This window comes from Homo sapiens, chromosome 7 (assembly GCF_000001405.40).
Source record: "Homo sapiens chromosome 7, GRCh38.p14 Primary Assembly".
NCBI classification, from domain to species: domain Eukaryota; kingdom Metazoa; phylum Chordata; class Mammalia; order Primates; family Hominidae; genus Homo; species Homo sapiens.
Genome location: NC_000007.14, coordinates 1,041,384 through 1,060,670, shown reverse-complemented (window position 1 = coordinate 1,060,670; position 19,287 = coordinate 1,041,384). Strand labels below are relative to the sequence as shown.

Here is a 19,287-nt window from a genome sequence, read left to right as displayed (position 1 = left end):
GGGTCTGAGCTCCCCGCAGGAGCCACCCAGAGCCGCGTCCTCACGAGGCCGACTCTGACCTGCTTGCAGCACGTGATGAATAATGCCAGTGACCTCGTGGCTGAATTCCCAGGAGACTGGGACCAGAGCGTGACGTCCCCACGTCGATGGCTGCAAGGTGCCACTCCCCCCACCCTACCCCCACTGTCCCTGGGGCCGGGCATACTCAGAATTCCAGCGCGTTCAGGCTGTGGGGAGGAAGTGTGCCACAGAACCCCGGGGCGCTCAGGGCAGCTCCCACAGCCACATCGCCCGTCTTCAGAAGGGGTGGGGTCCTCATGGACATGAAGCTCTCACACCCCTTCAGGTCAGGGATCGCTGCCCAGTGAATTTGCCGCAAACTTGGGGGGAACATCTTCCTGTTTTCAGAGCTTTGTGGGCTTTAGAATTGGAGGTAGGGGATTGCAGGCCTATACTTTAATCCTAGAAAATCGGGGAGAGGCGAACAGATGGTGGGGAGGAATGGGGGCTTTTCTCACGGCCACATTTTAAAGTAGATGTTTTACAAAATCCCAATGGGTGGAAGGTCTCCAGCCAGGCTGACGAGGAACAATTGCCCCTGACTATAGACCCGCCTCACTAAGACCCGCCTCACTACGGACCCGCTTCACTACGGACCCGCCCCACTACAGACCCGCCCCACTAAGACCCGCCCCACTACGGGCCCGCCTAAGACCCGCCTCATTACGGACCCGCCCCACTAAGACCTGCCTCACTAAGACCCGCCTCACTAAGACCCGCCTCACTACGGACCCGCCCCACTACAGACCCGCCCCACTACGGACCCGCCTCACTACAGACCCGCCCCACTACAGACCCGCCCCACTACGGGCCTGCCTAAGACCCGCCTCATTACGGACCCGCCCCACTAAGACCTGCCTCACTACGGACCCGCCCCCCTAAGACCCGCCCCGCTAAGACCCACCTCACTACAGACCCGCCCCACTACGGACCCGCCTCACTATGGACCCGCCCCCCTAAGACCTGCCTCACTAAGACCCGCCCCACTAAGAACCACCTACTGACCCGCCCCACTCGGGACCCGCCTCACTAGGAACCGCCTCACTACCGACCCGCCCCACTAAGACCCACCTCACTAAGACCCGCCTCACTACAGACCCGCCCCACTACGGACCCGCCCCACTATGGACCCTCCTCACTGCAGACCTGTTCGCTCAAGTGGAACAGGCCGGTCCGGGCCCCATCTGAGGCTGCGAGGGCCGCGGAGATACGGATGCTGGTCCCAGGTGCCTTCGGAGCTGGCCTAAGGTTCCACCCTGGCCCTCCCACCAGACCCCGTGTGACACAGCCTCCAGCCCTCTGTCCCCTGGGGGCCCTTCAGCTCTGGTATTCAGTCAGAAATCCTAACACACCTTTCTTTTGTTTATTTATATTCTTTAGTTTTGTGCACACTTTGAGGAATTGATTTAGGACAGGTTCATACTGAAAAAAACCTCAGCTGATGTTATCTGTGGGGGCTGGGGAGGGTGTCAGGGACATTTGGTGGCTGAGGAGAGCGCGTCACTGCTATTGAATAGCTCCATTTAACACCAGCCATGTCTCCGCGTCTCAGGCACTTCTGTGAAATGTTCTCAGAACCCTGTGGTGACTGCGGCACACCCGGCAGGCCTTGCTAGCACACGCCGCCCACTGGCAGGGCCCGGCCACCCTGGCTGTTGCCATTCTTTCGTAGGGTTTTGTTCATTTTACTATTTGTCATTTTTCTAGGAAACATCTGTTTTTGTAAAACAAACAAGGGGGAATCAAGTATTTTAACCACAAAGTATAAATACTGGCTCTAAGCTTTCATCACTTCATTGACAAACTGAATGCTGAGGAGGCTGAAGGCGAGGAGGCTTTTGCGGATGTGGACCTTGAGCTGCGTGTTTGGGAGACGCACAGGCCTCGGGGAGACTCAAGCCAGATGCCAGCCACGGGGACCACAGCCTTGGCCCAAGAGTGGCATTTGTGGGAAAAAGGAAACTTCAAGAAAAACACCCCTCCTGCTTCTCTTCCAGCAGCTCGTCTCCTTCTGGAAGGATGTGGGGAGCGTCCAGGGTAACTAAGTGCTCTGCGTCCACCAGAGTCACGTCTCCCCAGGAGGGCTGGGCCGCCTACGCCAGCACCTGCTGCACCCCCATGTGGTCCGGGGAGCAGTGCCGGTCCCCGCAGGGCAGCTTTTTCATCAGCCGTTGGAGCTTGCTGGGGAAGCTCTGGTTCATGTAGCGGTAGAGAAGTGGTGTCACAAAGCTGCTGGAGAAGGCCAGGAGTTTGGAGAAATCCTTCACAAAGTGCAGTAGCCCCAGGTAGTGTGCGTCCACGGGCTTCCCTCGCGAGATGATGACCGTGTGCCCCAGCAGGATCAGATAGTGTGGCGTCCAGAGCCCAAACTGCGTGCACACGGTGGCCACCAGCAGCCTGTGTGCCGAGGGCTCCAGCCGGCCCGTGTCCCGGTCCAGGGGCGTGTCCTCCCTGCGGACGCGGGAGAGTAGCACCAGCGCGTAGAGGGTGGCCAGTGCTGGCACCACGTAGCCGATGAACACCAGCGTGGCGTCGGCAGCTTCTGCGTTCTGCATCTTGGCGCACTCTAGCGCGCGGGTGGACACATGGCTGCAGATGTAGAAGAGCAGCGAGGAGAAGCTGGTCAGCAGCGCGCCACCCCACACGAAGCCGCACACGTGCCGCGTGTTGTACACGCTGGCCATGTAGGTCCGCGGCAGTGCACGCTCGATGTAGTGGTCGAGGCTCAGCAGGGCGGTGGAGTACATGGCCACCAGTGAGGACACATTGAAGGGGATCTGCAGTGCCACGTGGACTTCGCCGCCCACACTCCACAGCGCCCACCGGGAGCTCGGGGGGCCGAGCAGGTGCACAGGGGCCAGGGCGCTGAGCACCAGGCCTGCCACTGCCATGTTGACAAAGTACACGTCCGGCATGGTCATGCTGGCCTTGCTGTGTAGGTTGGCCAGCACCAGCAGGGCGTTGTAGCACAGGCCCACTGGCACGCCCACCACCAGGCCCAGCAGCGACAACAGTGACAGCCCCAGCTGCAGGTCCTGGCAGGCAGGCAGCTCCTCCACCAGCCCTGTGCCGTTGAACCAGCTGCAGCTCCACATGGCGGCCGGCGAGGCTCCGCGACCCTGCGGAAAGAAGGAACAGGTGGTCAGCTCGCGTCCCGTCCCAAAGCCCTGGCCCAGAAGTGCTGCAGGTACAGGGGTGCCTTCTCCTGGTGCAGTAATCGCTGCAGACCACAGAGCGAGGCTGCCTTTGGTGCATTTCTGTGAAAGTGAAGTTGAGCGTTGAAAAATGGCCGTCTCGGGTCGTGACCGGGGGCTGCTGTGGCTGCACTTATTTCAGCGGCTGGGGTTGGGGACCAGAGAGGGAGCCTGGTGTGCCCCACATTCTCAGAGCCCACTCTTCACGGGCTGCTGCGAGGCCTGGGTGGTCGTCCTGAGTTGGTTGGACGGGCCCCGCACAGTGATTCCCGAAGTTTACTAGATGTCTGTGGTGTTCGCATCTTGCCAGCGCCGGGAGGGACAGGCAATGTGGACGGTCAGCCCTGAGCCTCCCTCCCTCCCTCCCGGCAGCTCAGGACCCGGTGCCTTGGAGTCCTTGCAGAGCCTGGGCTCCAGGGAGGGTGACCTGTGGGTCGCAGCCCACAGGAGGCTCTGGGGACATGGGGACATAGCCAGTCTTGACGTCACTGAATGAGAACCTGGCGGCTGGAGCCATCCTAGAGTAAGAATTTCGCCACCCCCACCCCCCCACCCCGCCAAAGCACAGGCATTCCTCAGGGACCTACAGCTATCTCGGGAAGCCTGATGTCCACCATGTCATTTGGCCCCGGCTGACCTCCTACTCTCGGAGTGGAGTAGAAAGCGTCTCAGGCAGACGAGCAGACGGCATCGTTCCCATGCCCGGAGGCAAGAGCAGTGAGGAGGCCGGCTGCGGGAGTGGGTCCTCACCCGCCACTGGAGTCCTGCCACTGCAAGACCCACACCACACACAGGGCCACAGCAGGGCGGGAAGAGGAGGCTCGGGAGGTGGAGAGCACGGAGGGGCCAGGGCCCGAGGTCCCCAGTGCCAATAGCAGTGTGCGCCCCACAGCAGGAGACACGGCCCTGTGGCTAGGCATGCAGGCAGCTGGCAGATGGGCGGGTGGGTAGATGTGGGAATTCCCATCCAGAGGCTGGTGGGCAGGACGGGAGGTGTGGGTCATTGTGCAATCCTGGTGAATGCCGCCCAGCAGCCGCAGTGAGGGTCAGGTGGTGACAGGCATGCAGAGCTAGGCCGCTGCTGGGTGTGCCCAGCCACAGTGCCGCCACAGCGCTGCCACAGCACCCCCAGGTCCTGGGTCCAGGCTCCCTGGCCCCTGCTTCTCACGTGCTCATCTTGTCTAGCTCCTCACTAACACATCTTGACCAGCACCTCCTCGGCCAGGCAGGCAGCAATCTGGGGGATGTTGGTAGTGGGGGATGGGCTCTGGGCTCCACTCGCCGGGCCAGCACAAGCTCCAGACAGGATGCACCTGCTCCAAGCACAGTGGCGGGGGCCGGTGAGGGGGGCGTCCGGGCCTCTGCGGGCTTCTCCCCTCCTGCTGCGCCAGGGTCCAGAGGACGGGGTTCTTCAGGATCGTGGTCCTCCACACCCCAGCTTCTGCCTGCGAGGCTGCGTGGCTTTGGCTGTCACAGAGTGGCAGCCCAGTTTGGGGACGTCACCCCCCAGACTCCACTTGAGTCCCCAGGAAACACAGGCCACTGTGACTGGGTGTCAGTCAGCAGCCTGGCCTGGCCTCACGGGGCGCCCAGGGCCCCCGGATCTGTCCAGGGTCTGTGATTAGAAGATCGGAGCGGGAGGGCTGTCTCACTGTGTGCCTTGTGTGCTGCCTCCAGTCACTGACAGGAGGGCACACCCGGCCGGCCACCTTCACCCCACAGAGCTTGCCAAGGGCCGGGACCCCTCAGTGTGCTCTGTCTCGGCACCCCTTCATTCCCTACTTAGAGATGTCCACCGGTGGCACTGTACAGAACCCCCTGCGTCCTCTCTCCCACCTGTGCTGCACAGAGTCCCCCACGTCCCCTCTCCTGCCTGTACTGCACAGAGCCCCCCACGTCCCCTCTCCCACCTGCGGGCACCACAGGCTCTCACCTTTACTTTGTGGCCCAAGCCTCTTGGTGCTGTGGGCCCTGGCCACTGTCGGTGAGCAGCATGGCGGGACAGAGGTGGCCACCAGAGCTCTGGTGAGGACCTGCGCGCTGCTGCGCTTCTCTGCAAACCCGCAGGCTCTTATCAGCAGCGCGCCTGGCCGCCTGCGCGTGCGTGTGAGGGCCCCAGGATGCAAGCACTTGTTTTCCTCTGGTAAGTTCCCCGCAGGGCCTCTGCCTCCCTTGGCAGGCGCCACCGCCCCTCCCTCCTGCTGTTTACAGCCGGGTTCCAGAAACGAGGGGCCGTGCTTGGACGGGACCGCACTGCAAACTGAGCACAGCTGGCCTCTTGTCCCACCTTTCTGATAGCCTGGCTCATGGAGGCCGTGGCCTCTGCCCGCAGGCCCCTGTCTGCATCGCTGCGGGGCATCCCACCGAGAGCCTGGGGGCAGGTCAGGCAGACACGTGTCCAGGTCCATGCAGCCGCCCCTGGTGTTCAGTGTGCTTGAGATGTTGGTTACGAACCCTTTTTTCCGTGAGGAAATCAACAGAAGGGTCTACTGTCGAGCGAAGGCCTGGCCATGCTCACTCAGCCCACAGGACACAGGAGTCCTCAGAGGCACAGCGGAGGCCGAGGGCAGGTTCAGGTCGGAAGCAGAGAGGGGAGCACGTGCATCTGGTGTCTCCGTGCACAGAAGGGACATGGGCATGGCCAGAGAAAAGCTGAGCCGGCCCCACACACGGAGCCTCCTGCGAGGGCTCTCCTGCAGGTGGAACCGCGTGGGGCCAGCCTCTTGCCCGCCGCACCCCTCCTTGCAGGGAGTCAGAGAGAAGCTGCCTGGACTGCTAATGCCTGCCCCGCCGTGAGGCCAAGTCAGAGGGAGGCAGCCAGCGTCTGCAGGGCTAAGAATGGCTCGATTCTTGGGAGGCGGTCACGTGGAGTGGGATCTGCTGGCATTTCCTCCCTGCGCTCACGTGCGTCCCACTCGCCCTGAACCGGCTCTCGAGTGCGTGCTGTCACCCCAGCCGGGACCTGGGAACGCCGGCCTCCAGGTGGGGTTCAGGTGGAAAGTTCTCCTGTGTGCATTTTTGTTTACTGGCAGCTGACAAATACTGAAGGATTTATAAACTTCCAAAGCTGCAGGTTGCTCTCTGTGCAGTTCACCAGGTATCAATGATGAGGATGGTTTCTGTTTCCAGTGAAGGTTACAAGCCGAGCCGTACCTGTTTTCCTTCACTCTCCGCCGGTTGGAAGGTGACGCGCTTTGCGTGTTGGCCCCAACATTCTCCCTGGAGCCCTCCTTTTACCAGGCATTACCTGGAGATCTTGGGAGGGAAGGCAGCTGGGGCGGGCTGCTCCGTGGGCTCTGGGGGACGTTCCTAAAGCCGAGGAGCTCAGGTTCCCGCCTTTGTCAGGAGCTGGGCTGAGAGGCATGGAAGGAAGGCAGGTCAGCAGAGCGTGAGGAAACCCCTTCCTCGGCCACGCCTGGGTGGACAAGTCTCCTTGACCCGCCTCCTCTCTGGCTCGTGGTAGGAACAGGGTCCCTGGGAGTGCCCTCCAGGAGCTGGTTTGAGAGTCTCCTGCCTGCAGGCTGTTAGCCATGGCTCCCAGAGAAGTGAGCATGAAGTGTATGGTTTTTTGGTTTTGTTTTTGTTTTTTTGAGATGGAGTCTCGCTCTGTTGCCCAGGCTGGAGTGCAGTGGCACGATCTCAGCTCACTGCAACCTCCGCCTCCCGGGTTCAAGCGATTCTCCTGCCTCAGCCTCCCGAATAGCTGGGATTACAGGCGACTGCCACCACACCCAGCTAATTTTGTATTTTCAGTAGAGACAAGGTTTCTCCATGTTGGCCAGGCTGATCTCGAACTCCCGACCTCAGGTGATCCGCCCACCTCGGCCTCCCAAAGTGCTGGGATTACAGACGTGAGCCACCATGCCCAGCGAGGTGTACATTTTGAAGGCTGGGAGCTGCAGGGGGCACCCACAGAACCACAGCGTGCCAGGGCCTGGCGAGTCATGTGAGCCAGTGTTCCCACCTCTCCTGGTCACAGGAGACTCGTGACGCGTGCCCGACCCTCACAGCCAACCCAGCTCCCTGTCACTGAGCTGTTCCGGGCACATTAGCCGGGGTCCTGTCCTGCGCAAGGTTCTGGGCTCTACTGTGGACGCCCCTCCCCCGCCGTCGCCACACCTGCGTCCGAGTGAGGGGGATGGCCTGGGCCCCATGTGCCTGCCTGGACGCAGAGGGGTTCTGTGGGAGCCTGGCCTGGCCCAGGCGGGTGGAGCCTTCGACTCCTTGCCTGTCCGTGGTCTCCCGCTTGCCTCTGTGCCCAGAGACTTCCTTTTCCTGGCTGCCGGGCTGTCTGGGGAAGCAGGGCATCCTGGAACTGGAGAACAATGGCCTGGCTTCTCCCCCCACTGGGCAGGCCCGCTGTGCCTTCTTTCCCGTCAGCCATGCACTCTGCTGACTTCCTTCAAGGGAAAGAGGAACGGGGAGCCAGGTGATGGGAGACTTAGAGGCTGGGAGAGAAAGCCCAGATGAGCCTCTTCAGAAGTGGGCTCTTTTCCTACACGAAAGCCTGAGTTTGTTGTGGCGGCGATGAAAGATTCTGGAGGCTCCCTCAGAAGGCAGGAGAGACCACAGAGAAGGGCCGCCTGCCCCCCAACCCCATGCTGCAGGTCCCTCTTGGGCCAGGCTTGAGGAACAGAGCTGGCACATGCCCTCCAGTCACCCGTTTCACTCTGAGCACTGCCTGCCCGGTGGCGGGGGTGATATTCAGCTTCCGGGGCCCGCCACTGCACCCTCAGCCAGCAGGGACCCTGTGGGCCTCTCCTCCAGGCCAGCCCCACCCTTGCACTGAGAGACCACCAGCTTGACCACCAGCTTCTCCCCCAGTTCCTGGCCACCCTCCCAGGCCAGGCCGTCCCTGGCAGCTGCTCCTTCCTGGCTCCCCCACTTCTTCCGCCAGGCCCTGCTCCTCCAGCACCTCCAAAGTCACACTGCTGGTTTCACTGCCTACCTCCCACTGTTACCACCAGCATCTCCCCCCGAAACCCTCCCCCACGACTCCTCAAGACCTGCCACCCACACACAGGTCCCTCCCCAGGCCCACGTCGGTGCCAGCACAAGCAGCCCCAAGGCCCTCCCCTAGGGAGGCACCCAGGACTGGGCTCTTCTCAGGCGAGTGTCCCCAGCCGAGCTGGACGCTGCAGGTCAGCCTTGCCTCTCAGGAGGGCACGCCTCGACGCAGGCGCCTGCTCAGAGGCTCCTCACCCACTCAGCCTGGAGCAGGCCTCAGGGTCTCTTAGGGACAATGACAGCATCTCGGGCCAGGAGGGGAGGGGCTGCAGGCAGCATCTTGGCTGGGAAGGTGGAAGGAGCTGGCCCTGCCTGGGCCTCAGCTGTCCAAGATGGCCCAGTTTCAATCGTTTTATTTTCCCTATAAGAGAATTCATTAATGTCACAAATGGGATTCATCTGTTCCTCCTTCTGTTTTTATTTTTCTGTTTGGAGCCAGGATCTCTCTCAGTCACCCAGGCTGGAGGGCAGTGGTACCATCATAGCTAACTGCACCCTCTGCCTCCTGGGCTCAAGCGATCCTCCCATCTCAGCCTCCCAAGAAGCTGGGACTACAGGCATGTGCCACTACAGCTGGCTAATGTTTTCATTTAACGTTTTTTGAGACAGGGTCTCACTATGTTGCCCAGGCTAGTCTCAAACTCCTGGGTTCAAGTGACCCTCCTGCCTCAGTCTCCCAAAGTGCTGGGATTACAGGTGTGAGCCACTGTGCCTGACCTGTTTTTGTTTTTTAAATAACTCTCATAAAAAGGGCCAGCCTTGCACCTACTGCCCGTCCTTCCCAATCCAGTGGCGGCTGACATGCGGGAGATATCTGACCAGTCTCATTTGGATGGGGTGAGAGGTCTTTACAGCTTCAAGGCTGGGCCTGGGCCATGGGCCAGCAGTGGACAGGAGAGGAGGGCTTAGAAAGCCCAGCGGAATCGGGAGAGTGTCAGAGCCCAGGGCTGGCCTCAGAGTGTACAGCCAGCCTGGGAGACGTGAGCAAATGTGCTCCCCACGCTGTGCGGGAAACTGCTGCACCCCTTACGAGCTCAGAACCTCGGCGGCCTGGCTCAGGGTCTCCCAGCAGCTGCTTAAGCAGAAAGGGGGCAGAGCTGGACACCAGGTGCACCCTAGAGAGCTGAGACAGAAGTGACATTTCCACACAGGAATCCTGAGAGGACCGGGGTTGGGACACAGTGTTCATGGGAGGCTGGCGCCCCGTTTTCTGGGAGCAGCAGCTTCTCTGAGTGACAGGAAGGGGCCTGGGCCTCTGCCCACACGCTGCTTGTAGGGCCTGGGAGCTGTATGAAGCCTCCGAGAAGTCCGGGTGTGCTGGTGCCCTCTGCGACGCAGGGGTGGCCTCTGGGCCCCATAAGCAGCCATCTGCGGGGCTGCGCACTCCCACCCAGGCCTCTGCTGGCCTGTGGGGTGACCTCAGCCAATCTGTCCATCCCCCTCTCTGACGGCATGGCCGCCATCTCCAGCAGGCTAGGGTGAGGCCCAGCTAAGCAGGAGGCTGGGAAGGACAGGGGTAGAGTTTCTCCGAGACCCCCTGCGCGTCAAGCCTTCTGGGTTCCTGGTCCCTGCCGAGCGCCTGTGGATGTCGCTGTTTCCGGTGTGCCCGTCTCTGGGTCCTCAGCTGTGCCTCTGTGTCATCTACTGAGCGGTGCTCACTCCTAATGCGTACTCGTGAGGATAGAAGGTGGGGTCTTTTCTTCCAAGACCCCGTGCTGGGCTCCGACTGCGATTTCCTGGGAAGATGCTTCCTAGGCTGCGGCGTTCCAAGCCCGGGAAGGCTGCTGGGCCTTACTTCCTTGCAGGCTCTCCCGCGTCCGTCCGCCTGCACCAGGGTGCAGGGACGCCACTTGCAGAGCATCCGCTCGGAGCTGGGAGCCCCAGGCTCAGGACTTGGAGAAGCTGGGGCAGCTTGAGAAACGAAAGCCAAAAAGTGCCAGACTCCCAAGCCACAGGGACCGATGGGACAGGATCCTTGGTTGGCTTGGGCAGCCCGTCTGGGCAGCTGTCCCTGTTGGCTTGGAAGTCCATGGATGTGCCCGCCGCAGGTGGACGGCTCCCTGCTCTGCTCTGAGCCTGAGCAAATGCCCTGGGGATCTGTTCTGTTCCTGATCTAAACCTGAGTGTGTGCAGCTCCCTGGAGAGCCCCTGACAGACCACCTGTGACTTTGGGCCACTGTGCCTGAGGAGTCACTGCCCACAGGGTGCACAGGCAGGCTGGGAAAGGACAGGGTGCCCAGTGGTGCTGGCCCCTGTGTCCCTGCACAGCCCTGAGCCCGTAGGCCTGTGCTGACAGCAGGTCTCACACTGCAGAAGACCCTGTGCTTGCGGTTCAGAGTGGGGCCCGCTGAGGGGGCCCTGCCAAGGCCTAGCCCGCCAGAGAGACCTGGGAGGGCCCGTGTGTCCTGAGCTTTGGGGGCCGACAGTGTGGGGCAGCTCTCCTTGTTGGGGTGGGGTGGGGTGGCTGCTGGCTGCTGCCAGGCCTGGCTGGTGGGAGGCAATCAGGAGGGCCCAGGTGCACAGCTTCAGCTGTCCCTGCCCAGGGCTCCTCGCACGGGACCTTGGTGGCTTCTCTGTCATAGAACCCAGTACAGTGGTGCCCAAAATTTGACCGAAAACAGTCCTAAAACTGTTTTCCTACTTTGAGAAAGCACCACTGATTCCAGCCGCTGCCTTGACCTCTGGTCTAATTCCTTCTACCTGACATGAGGGAATGTTAGACAGGGCTTCGTAGTAAGCCTGCTAATAGGAAGGACCGTGCCCTGCTGTCTGCAGGGGCCTGGATTAGTGGTGGGCAGCAGCAGGAGTTGACATAAAGCGCTGTAAGAAACTCCCTCGCCCTCCGTCTTCCTAGGAAGGAAGTGGTTAAGGGCCTGGGCTCTGGAGCGGGCAGCAAGCATGTGCACTGCAGGCTGAGCTTTTCCAGTCCTGGCTTGCACACAGGTGCCTTTGCAGGCAGGTGACATCCTTGCTGTGTGCCTCGGTTTCCCCAGGCTTAGTAAAAATCTTCATGAGACAGGAGGGTTAAGTAAACCAACCCATGTGAAGCACAAGAGGGTGCCGGCACTTGCTCCCTGTTACCAGCCCTGGCCTGGAATGATGACGCCTGCAGATCTTTGGCCTCCTCCCCACATATAAAGGGCAGAGGAAGCTGTTCTGTGACCTTTTGCTCAGAATCTTTGTGAACGGACACGTGTGCAGGGGAAACGTGGGGCAGGGTGGGGGTGACAACAACATGGGCCCCGTCACACCCCACACTGCTGGCCAACGTGGAGGAGGAGGCAGCCCCCAGGACGCACCTGTGGGTGGCGCTTGCATGGGTAGCACAGGGTCAGACCGCGGAGGCCTGGGGAGCGCACGCTCAGACAGCGGAGGCCTGGGGAGCGCACGCTCAGACTGCAGAGGCTTTGCAGTTTTATGGTTTTTATGTTCTGAGTTGGGGCTTTGATACCAACACAATGAATTTCCCGATGTTTCACTAGTACTAAACTGGAGTATAAACACTTGCTTCCCTGGCCTCTATTCATTGCTTTCAAAGGAACATGGGACTGAGAAGGAGAACCTGCTCCAGGGGTCTTGGTTCTCTTTGGTTCATAACTCGTGAAAATGTCTGGAGCCCATGTGCGGCTGTGGAGACCATGGCCATAGCAGGGTGTGGACAGGGGCGACAGGACCCCGTCAGGCTAGCTGTCAGGAGCATTTCAAGTGAGACGTTGGCATCTTTCTTCCTATGTCTTATTTAAAAAGAGCCCAAAGTGCTATCAAACAGTCTGTTAATAATGAATGTCTGTGAGCAGTGAGGTGAACTTGGCTGAAACCCGGGGCTAACTTTGATAGGGTTTCCCAATAGAAATGGACTGCCCCAGGCCTGTTCAGAAGCAGCAGGCCTGGAGACAGAGGGGGCCTGAGTGTGGGGATGGTGACCACCCCTCTCAACCTGAGAGGCACCCGGGTCCCTGTATGTGTGTGTGAGAGAGAGAGAGCATCATAGCGCCTGCACTGCACAGAGCTGGCAGAAACAGAAACCAGCAGAGGAATCCTCTGCTCCAAGGTGGCTGAATTAGTTTCACAAAAGCCATCGCTTTTGATGTTGCTGTCCCTGTTAGTCGGGAAGTTCTTTCCTCTGTTGCTTAGGGCCCTGTCAGAGCTGGGGCCGGCAAGTCCCACGCCCGGTGATCCCCACGAAGTTTCCGGGTGCTCTCTTTCACACTGTCTTTTGCGGATGTTGATCCCTTGCCTAGAACACCCTTTCTCGCTTCCCCTCGTTCTCTCAGCAAACACTGGCTCGTCCTTGACATTTTATTTTGGGCATCAGTACCCCCGGGAACCCACCCCTGACCACTGTCTCCACACCCCTCCGCCAGTCTTTGCTGGGTTAAGCCTGTCCGCACATCCATCTCTTTCCCACCTACTTGGAGCTCTTTGCAGGCAGGGGAAGTTTTTATGTGTGCTGCAGCAGCCTGGCTGACTGTTGGATGAAAACCGTAGAAGGGGATGTATTCAGTGACGTAAAAGGCTTTTCCCCAAGGCGAGTGATCCACCAAGGCGAGTGATCCAATTTCCCCACTGAGTAGAAAGGAGAGCAGGCAGGATGGGGACTCAGCGCTTCTTATTGTCCCCGGACAGTTGTTGAAGCTTTAGAGCCTTAGATTTGAGTGGAAAGAGAACTGCGAGGCCCCAGGCACTGCATCCTCAGGATGGCAGGAAAGGAGTGGAAAGGCCACGGCCAGCTCCTGGCCGAACCTGCCATGCACCATGAGACGCTCAACCTTGGGTGAATATTCTAGAACAATCAAAATGCTTTCAAAATGACTCTGGAATGTTTATTTTCTTTTGTAGTAATGAACCCAGGCTTTAGCAACAATTAACATCCAGCTCCTAGGAGCCAGATGCTTAGGAAAGGCTGCTGTTTTCACAGGGTTTCCACGTGGAGAGCTTACGCACACTGATTCCTATCTGTGCCTTCCTGGGCTGTGATAAGAAATGGTTCATTACATAGGTGGATGGTTTTGATTTTTGTAGCCTTTTGCTTTTTACAATTCCAAACTGCAGAGTAGTGAGAGTGAATCAGGTGACTTGGCTTAGACTATAAACAAAGAGAATGCCTCTCTTTTTCCATGGATAATAGCGAGCATGTTTGCGGCTCCAGGACGGGCTCTGGGGGCCTGAGACCAAGCACCTTGCTGGGCCAGTGAGCGGGCTGGGCACCTGTGCCTGCAGCTATGGGCGCCAGTTCCCTGGAGGAAGGTGGAACAGCATTCTTTTGTTTACTTGGCTTTTTGTTCCCTAACTGGGTGTGAGGCTAATTCCCTCTCCAGGTACATCAGACCAGGGAAAAACAAAAACAAACAAAAAAGACTTCCTCAGAAATTCAAAGACATGGCCAAGAACAGAGAGTCTCTACTGCAGACTCTGGGCAGGCTTGGCACCTGCCGGGGCTCCTCAGTCGAGCCCCGGTTTACTAGGCGTGGCCTTAACCTGCAGGGAAGTGCTCTGAGCCGCAGATCTTATCACCACCTTGGTTGTTTCCCAGGGAGGAGCCAGCAGGTTATTTCTCCTCATCACACTAGCTGTGGTAGCGACAGTGGTCTGCAAGGCTTGCTTTGGTTCCAATTAAAATGGGGAAAGTCCTTGGCCTTTGCAGGAAGGGACCTGGGTGTGGCTCTGTGGGGATGAACAGACACCTGCCCCACCTCCACCTTGTCCCTCTGCTGCTCAAGGGGGTATTTTGTTTGCACACGGAGGCTCCTGGGTAGACAGCACGCTCCTAAGAAACTGACTTCTGGTCCCGGGCAGCATCTCATTTTGGGATCTCAAATTGGAGCGAAACGTTATTCTACTCTCCAGACTGGGTTCCCTGTCCTCTTGGCTACCTGGATGGTGTCTTGGGGTCCTGAGCCTTTGAGACCCCTGGACAGATGTGGGCTAACTGGACAGCCTAATGCTGGTCAGTTGGGCAGGTGGGTTAGTGAAAGCCCTGGAGAGCAGAGGAGCTGGCAGGCAGGAGGGAATGGCTGGGAAACACTGTTGACAGAAAACAGCACCGTGGGATCGTCGTGTGCATGACACGGTCGGCCGGGTTCTCTGGGTGATAATTTCCTTCTGCAAAGGCAAGACCTCGCTGTGGTTGGGTCATTAAAGGCCAGGCGGCAGTTATTTTTTCAGGATTCCAGGTGACATCCTAGGGGCTGTGAGAGCTGCAGCTCCCTGAGGAGCCCCTTCTTCTCCCTGCCCCAGTGAGCAGCATGTCCCTCTTCCGACTGTAAATTACACGAGCATATTTCCCCATGCAGCGATCTGTGCAGTATGCCATTGATTCATTGTATGATAGACATAATCAGCCTTTACATCCTAACCTAAGACCCACATGAGGTGCGCGCCCTTTGCCCTTCTCTCTTCATCAGCCTACTGGGGCTTATGAGTTGCAGGGACTCCAAGTCAACTTTCACATTTACATTCTGCCCTAAATCTGTGTTCCTCTGTCCTCCATCCTCAGGATATGTCCATGCTGGCTAGAGAGGCAGGATGACACGTGGACGCCAGCACGGATGTGTGTGGCGTCGGGCAGTGAGCTGCTCTGGCCCCGACCTCTTCTCTGTGAAAAGGCACAACAGTATTCAATACATATAAACTATGTTCTTAAGTCACTTGTCTTCAGAGGCCTTCTTCATTGAGGAAGACAACAGGGGTTCTGGTTGGGGAGCCAGGCCTTACAGTAGTTCTTGAAGGAGCTGCACAGCAGGTCATGGGTACTGTGAGTGTGCACTTCGTCTAATTATTAACAGTGCCTCCGTTCACTCTCAACGGTGCCCCAGTTAGGACGGTAGACTATCTCATCACCACTATGCGTGAGGAGCCTGGGAACATGGTCAGAACCATTTTACTCATACAAGTTTGCAGAGGCCTTTAAAGCAAGCCTCTTGGCCCTCTGTTATTGAATGCTGGCCTCTGCTAGGTGCTGCAGGTAGCAAAAGATAAAAGATGTCGTGCTGTTCCGTGTGGACAGGAGCTGGCTATTTAAAGTGGAATGGAGGACTCAAGTACATCTTCATGGGCAGGGAAGAGATCAAAGGCTGTGGACGACGAATACAGAATTATCCTCTGGTCCACCACGTAGCATGCATGCAGAGATAAGCCACTGTGACCAGTCACATCAAGATTCATAGACTTATGCCTAATTTAGAGAACTGACTTGCCAGGTTTGTAATACTAACTTAATAGTGGGTTTTCTGCTGCTGGTAGTGGTGGTTTGGCGGCTGGAGAGCACTGCCTTCCAGTGAAGCTTTGAAAGAGCCGTCCCATGCCCTGCCAACTGTCCAAGACAACTGACAGCAGATCCGACACCTCCATGTAGACACAGATCCAAAACTCACTTTAAAATACTAATCACAGAAGGGGCCGAAAGCAGTCACCATAGTGGCCCAGGAGAGCAGGATCAGTGGTGCCCTGTCGGACATGGGAGAGCCGGTGGCGGCGCTGTGCCGCCTACGCCAGCAGCAGATTCAGCTGCCATCACCAGGTTAATGACCGAAAGCCCGCCCCCGGGGCTCAGCTCGGAGCGCGGCCGGAGGACAGCGGTCCCCTCCTGGCAAGGGCACGGAGCCCCGCAGTGGGCAGCGGCCAGAGGACCCGGGTCCCAGTAAGCGCAGCGCCCGCCGTGGGAGCCACAGCAGCTTGGGGCTGGCTCCCTCCCCAGGCGGAGACTGGGGTGTGCCCCACCGACCCGACCCAGGCTCCCGGGCCCCACTCACCGGCTTGCTGGGCGGCGGCCGGCGCAGTCGCCGCCGGGCGGGCAGCTCGGGCTGGCGGAGGCGGCGGGGCTCACGGCGCGCACGCCGCCCGGGCCCTGTGTACACACGTGACCGTCGGCCCCGCCCCCGGCCGGCGAGCGGCAGCCATGCCTGGCCCCGCCCCCAGCCTTGGTCCCGCCCTGGCCTCCGCCCCCCGGCCCCGCCCTCGCGGCTAGACCGCGGGGAACCGCTCGGACCAGTGAGGTTGGGGGGCGGTGGCGGTGGAGGCAGTGCTGGTTGTGTAACCTGAGACCAGCCATTTGACGAACTCGTGCGAGATTCCCTGTGGGAGGACACACACCCAGGGCTCTGGGAGTTTTTGAGAATTCTCTTAGTGCCCAGCGCGGTTTCTTTTTACAGGCGCTGGTGCCTATTTTGCTGAGTCAGAATATACCCTAATCTGCAGGGTGCAGGCCCCACCGCCCTCCAAAGGAAATGAGTGGCTGCAAGTTAGTCCTTCCAGGTACACCTGCCCCTCTTTCTTCACCGAAGTTTGCTTGCTGTTTCCAAAGTCACCAATTACTTCCTGGTTTTAGGATTTTCTTTGTAAACGGAACACTCACAGGAAAGCCGTTTAAAGAAACACATTGCTGCCTGATTACTTTTGTAGCTATTGTTACAAGTTAAACATTGGAAAAGTTGAAACAAGGACATTTACTTTGCTGTAATTTTTGAGGTGAAACAGTCCCCCCTGCAGCACATTCTGGTTCAGGATCTAAGAACATTTCTGAAAATCAAAGCATGTGGGTTGCACAGTTCCGCATAGACTTGCTGTGAGCTGCGGGCCGAGTGGAACACCAGCAGGAAGAATAGCGGCCACTGGCCCTCCGCTGCATGATGCTGTGGCCTACTGTGTTCAGGGATGTACCTCAGCCACCTTCCTGGACAGGACGGCTTCCTGACCGTGGGTCGGAGTGGGACGTCGGGATCAGCTTTCTATTCCAGCGGGAGGGCAGGGAGAGGCTCACCACGGCCCACGCCTGCTGATGTGATACTGACTTGCTGCCCAGCCCGGCACCAGGTCCCTGGCACAGTGGATGCAGCCCGGGCCCTGTGTGCCCAGAGGTGCCGGGTACTGATCTTACTTGCCAAAGTCAGTCACAAGCAGCCAACACCGATACCTGAGGGCGTATTCTGTGTCAGGTTCTGTTCTGAGCCTCAACCATTGTTTTGAGGTAGATACGTCCGTATTTCATCAAACCTAAGACACGATTGATTAGTGTTAGCTATGCCATTACTTTATGGATTACTAAAAAGAAGGCCCTCTGCCCACTGCATTCCGACATACTGCTGATTTTAAGGCGCAGCCTCACATTAGAGATGATAAAGTGAGAGTACGCCTTAGCGTCAATGAGATAGGTCACCATGTGCATTTTAATATTTTTTTTTTTTAAAGACAGAGTTTCTGTCATGTTGCCCAGGCTGGAGTGCAATGACACGATCTTGGCTTACTGCAGCCTCAGCCTCCTGAGTAGCTGGGATTACAGGTGCGTGCCACCATGCCCAGCTAATTTTTTTTTTTTTTTTTGTAGTAGAGATGGGGTTTCACCATGTTGGTCCGGCTGGTCTCGAACTCCTGACCTCAAGTGATCCGCCTGCCTGGGCTTCCCAAAGTGCTGGGATTACAGGTGTGAGCCACTGTGCCCGGCCATGCATTTTAAATTTAATTGTGAAAACTTAAGCAACTTAGCCCAGGTCACACTGCAGGCCGTGGAGCCAGGATTTGAACCCAGGGGTATTCTGGCTTTTTAGATCAGGGTTTGGGACTTTGGGCCCTCCTAGCAGCCCGCCTAAGAGTAAGCTTCGTTATCTCCATGGTATAAATGGCCCAAGACCTCAGAATCCCTGGTCAGAGTATGCACCGTGCTGTCTGGTCCCTGTAATGCCAGGCTCTGTGGGTCCTACCCACAGGGGTGCTCTGTGGCTGGGGAATGCTAGAGGTTAGCTTCCTCTGAGCCACTGAGCTTTCAGGTCACTGCAGACCGCCTTATCTGCAGAGACTTCCTGTGCCAAGCAGGCCAGTCCTGCCAGGGAGAATGGCAGAAAGCTCGTGTGTGTCCTGGGGAGATCGTCAGAGGGAACCACCCTCCACCTGAACCACAATAAGTACTCGTAGCTGGAGGTGTAAACACTCTCCAGAGGCTGCAGCTGCGTATCCAAGGGTCCTGGCCAGCCCCTGTACAAGACTCAGTTGGTGGGGGGAAGGGTGGGCACAGATTGGGGCGTAGGGGGGCGTGTGGCCCTGACTCAGCTTCGCGGTTGCACCCTAGTCTAGTGTTGATGGTTGAAGTCACGTGGACGTGGCCTCCCCTGTGTGGCTGCTGAGGGTGTTTGAGGGCAGTTGTGTGCTCCTGGCCTGGGGTCATGTGTTTGTGGCTGTGTGCCGTGGCTGCTGAGGGCATTTGAGGGCAGTTGTGCGCTCCTGGCCTGGGGCCGTGCCTCTGTGGTTGTGTGCCGTGTGTGTTGCGGGTGGGGGGTGCCCTAGTTGTGCACCTGATTCTGCAGCCCCGCACACTGCCGAGGCTCCTGTGTGCCGTGTGTGTTGCGGGTGGGGGATGCCCTAGTTGTGCACCTGATTCTGCAGCCCCGCGCACTGCCGAGGCTGCTGTGATGCAGCCGCGTGTCTCACGGAGATGTTGGGGCCGCCCTTCCCCTTCCCCTGCCGCATTCAGGCGGGTCGGCAGGCTTTCTTGCTTATTCTGAGTGGCGGTCCGGAAGGTCAGCTGCACGCCACCCAGGGATCCGGGGCTGCTGGTCAGGAGCTGGAGAGGGGCCCAGCTGGCCTGGGTCTGTCTGCACGTGGGCTTTCTCGGGGGGGCGGGGAGTGGTGGGAAAAGCTGGCTGGCGTTCCCCTCGGAGATGAACCTTCTCTAGTGATTGTGTTGGCAGAGTGAGTCTGATAGTGTGTGCCGTGCTGATCACGGACAAGGAATATTTTGCAACGAACTTCCTAGTTCTTGTGAGTATGGCTTGTGACTTTCTTTGTGGCCTGTTGATTATAAGGCGCACCCTGACGTTACAGATGATAAAATGAGAGTGAGCCTTAGCATAAGTGAGACAGCATGTCATCATCTGACACTCTGTGCATGTGTTAGTAAAACGTGGTGTTGTTCAGAGCCCCCATAAACGGCAGTAACATTAGTAAGGAATTGTGGAGTCCCTGGGCAGAGCCCAGGTCCCCTTCCCCGCAGCGCGGACCCCAGGTCCCGTTCCCCGCAGCGCGGACCCCAGGTCCC

The 19,287-nt window shown here is 58.5% G+C and overlaps 2 protein-coding genes across 13 annotated transcripts in view, besides 10 other annotated features; one reads left to right on the top strand and one right to left on the bottom strand.

The window, feature by feature from the left end:
- Positions 1-19,287, top strand: part of CHLSN (cholesin) — a 160,294-nt gene that overhangs the window by 77,587 nt on the left and 63,420 nt on the right. The window lies entirely within an intron of this gene.
- GPR146 (G protein-coupled receptor 146) lies at positions 1,410-16,125 on the bottom strand. 6 transcript variants are annotated; one of them, XM_011515116.4, is made up of 4 exons: positions 5,188-5,301; positions 4,423-4,567; positions 3,842-4,024; positions 1,410-3,179 (listed from the first exon to the last, which is right to left on the bottom strand). In XM_011515116.4, exons 3-4 carry the CDS (start codon positions 3,869-3,871, stop codon positions 2,154-2,156), a joined length of 1,056 nt encoding a protein of 351 aa, XP_011513418.1. In that variant the 5' UTR covers positions 3,872-4,024; positions 4,423-4,567; positions 5,188-5,301; the 3' UTR covers positions 1,410-2,153. The 6 variants fall into 6 exon arrangements, with proteins under 6 accessions (XP_011513418.1, XP_047275820.1, XP_047275821.1 ...); XM_047419864.1 differs by lacking the exons at positions 3,842-4,024; positions 4,423-4,567 and adding an exon at positions 16,013-16,125 and having other exon boundaries at positions 5,188-15,334; XM_047419865.1 differs by lacking the exons at positions 3,842-4,024; positions 4,423-4,567 and adding an exon at positions 16,013-16,125 and having other exon boundaries at positions 5,188-6,607.
- Positions 3,791-4,496: an enhancer, noted in NCBI's record as "H3K27ac-H3K4me1 hESC enhancer chr7:1095811-1096516 (GRCh37/hg19 assembly coordinates)". NCBI's record gives its function as "activates a minimal SCP1, AML or CMV promoter by ChIP-STARR-seq in primed H9 embryonic stem cells {active_cell/tissue: H9 hESC(primed)}" and the evidence as "EXISTENCE:reporter gene assay evidence [ECO:0000049][PMID:30033119]".
- Positions 3,791-5,202: a biological region, named in NCBI's record as "H3K27ac-H3K4me1 hESC enhancers GRCh37_chr7:1095105-1095810 and GRCh37_chr7:1095811-1096516".
- Positions 4,203-4,532: an enhancer, noted in NCBI's record as "active region_25485". NCBI's record gives its function as "activates an Ori minimal core promoter by ATAC-STARR-seq in GM12878 lymphoblastoid cells {active_cell/tissue: GM12878}" and the evidence as "EXISTENCE:reporter gene assay evidence [ECO:0000049][PMID:35858748]".
- Positions 4,351-4,570: a silencer, noted in NCBI's record as "fragment chr7:1095737-1095956 (GRCh37/hg19 assembly coordinates)". NCBI's record gives its function as "represses an EF-1alpha promoter that drives an FKBP-Casp9 reporter gene in an ReSE screen in HepG2 liver carcinoma cells {active_cell/tissue: HepG2}" and the evidence as "EXISTENCE:reporter gene assay evidence [ECO:0000049][PMID:32094911]".
- Positions 4,497-5,202: an enhancer, noted in NCBI's record as "H3K27ac-H3K4me1 hESC enhancer chr7:1095105-1095810 (GRCh37/hg19 assembly coordinates)". NCBI's record gives its function as "activates a minimal SCP1, AML or CMV promoter by ChIP-STARR-seq in primed H9 embryonic stem cells {active_cell/tissue: H9 hESC(primed)}" and the evidence as "EXISTENCE:reporter gene assay evidence [ECO:0000049][PMID:30033119]".
- Positions 7,692-8,672: an enhancer, noted in NCBI's record as "H3K27ac-H3K4me1 hESC enhancer chr7:1091635-1092615 (GRCh37/hg19 assembly coordinates)". NCBI's record gives its function as "activates a minimal SCP1, AML or CMV promoter by ChIP-STARR-seq in primed H9 embryonic stem cells {active_cell/tissue: H9 hESC(primed)}" and the evidence as "EXISTENCE:reporter gene assay evidence [ECO:0000049][PMID:30033119]".
- Positions 15,626-15,675: a silencer, noted in NCBI's record as "silent region_17842". NCBI's record gives its function as "represses an Ori minimal core promoter by ATAC-STARR-seq in GM12878 lymphoblastoid cells {active_cell/tissue: GM12878}" and the evidence as "EXISTENCE:reporter gene assay evidence [ECO:0000049][PMID:35858748]".
- Positions 15,856-16,345: a silencer, noted in NCBI's record as "silent region_17841". NCBI's record gives its function as "represses an Ori minimal core promoter by ATAC-STARR-seq in GM12878 lymphoblastoid cells {active_cell/tissue: GM12878}" and the evidence as "EXISTENCE:reporter gene assay evidence [ECO:0000049][PMID:35858748]".
- Positions 16,451-17,006: an enhancer, noted in NCBI's record as "H3K27ac-H3K4me1 hESC enhancer chr7:1083301-1083856 (GRCh37/hg19 assembly coordinates)". NCBI's record gives its function as "activates a minimal SCP1, AML or CMV promoter by ChIP-STARR-seq in naive H9 embryonic stem cells {active_cell/tissue: H9 hESC(naive)}" and the evidence as "EXISTENCE:reporter gene assay evidence [ECO:0000049][PMID:30033119]".
- Positions 18,495-19,002: an enhancer, noted in NCBI's record as "H3K27ac-H3K4me1 hESC enhancer chr7:1081305-1081812 (GRCh37/hg19 assembly coordinates)". NCBI's record gives its function as "activates a minimal SCP1, AML or CMV promoter by ChIP-STARR-seq in primed H9 embryonic stem cells {active_cell/tissue: H9 hESC(primed)}" and the evidence as "EXISTENCE:reporter gene assay evidence [ECO:0000049][PMID:30033119]".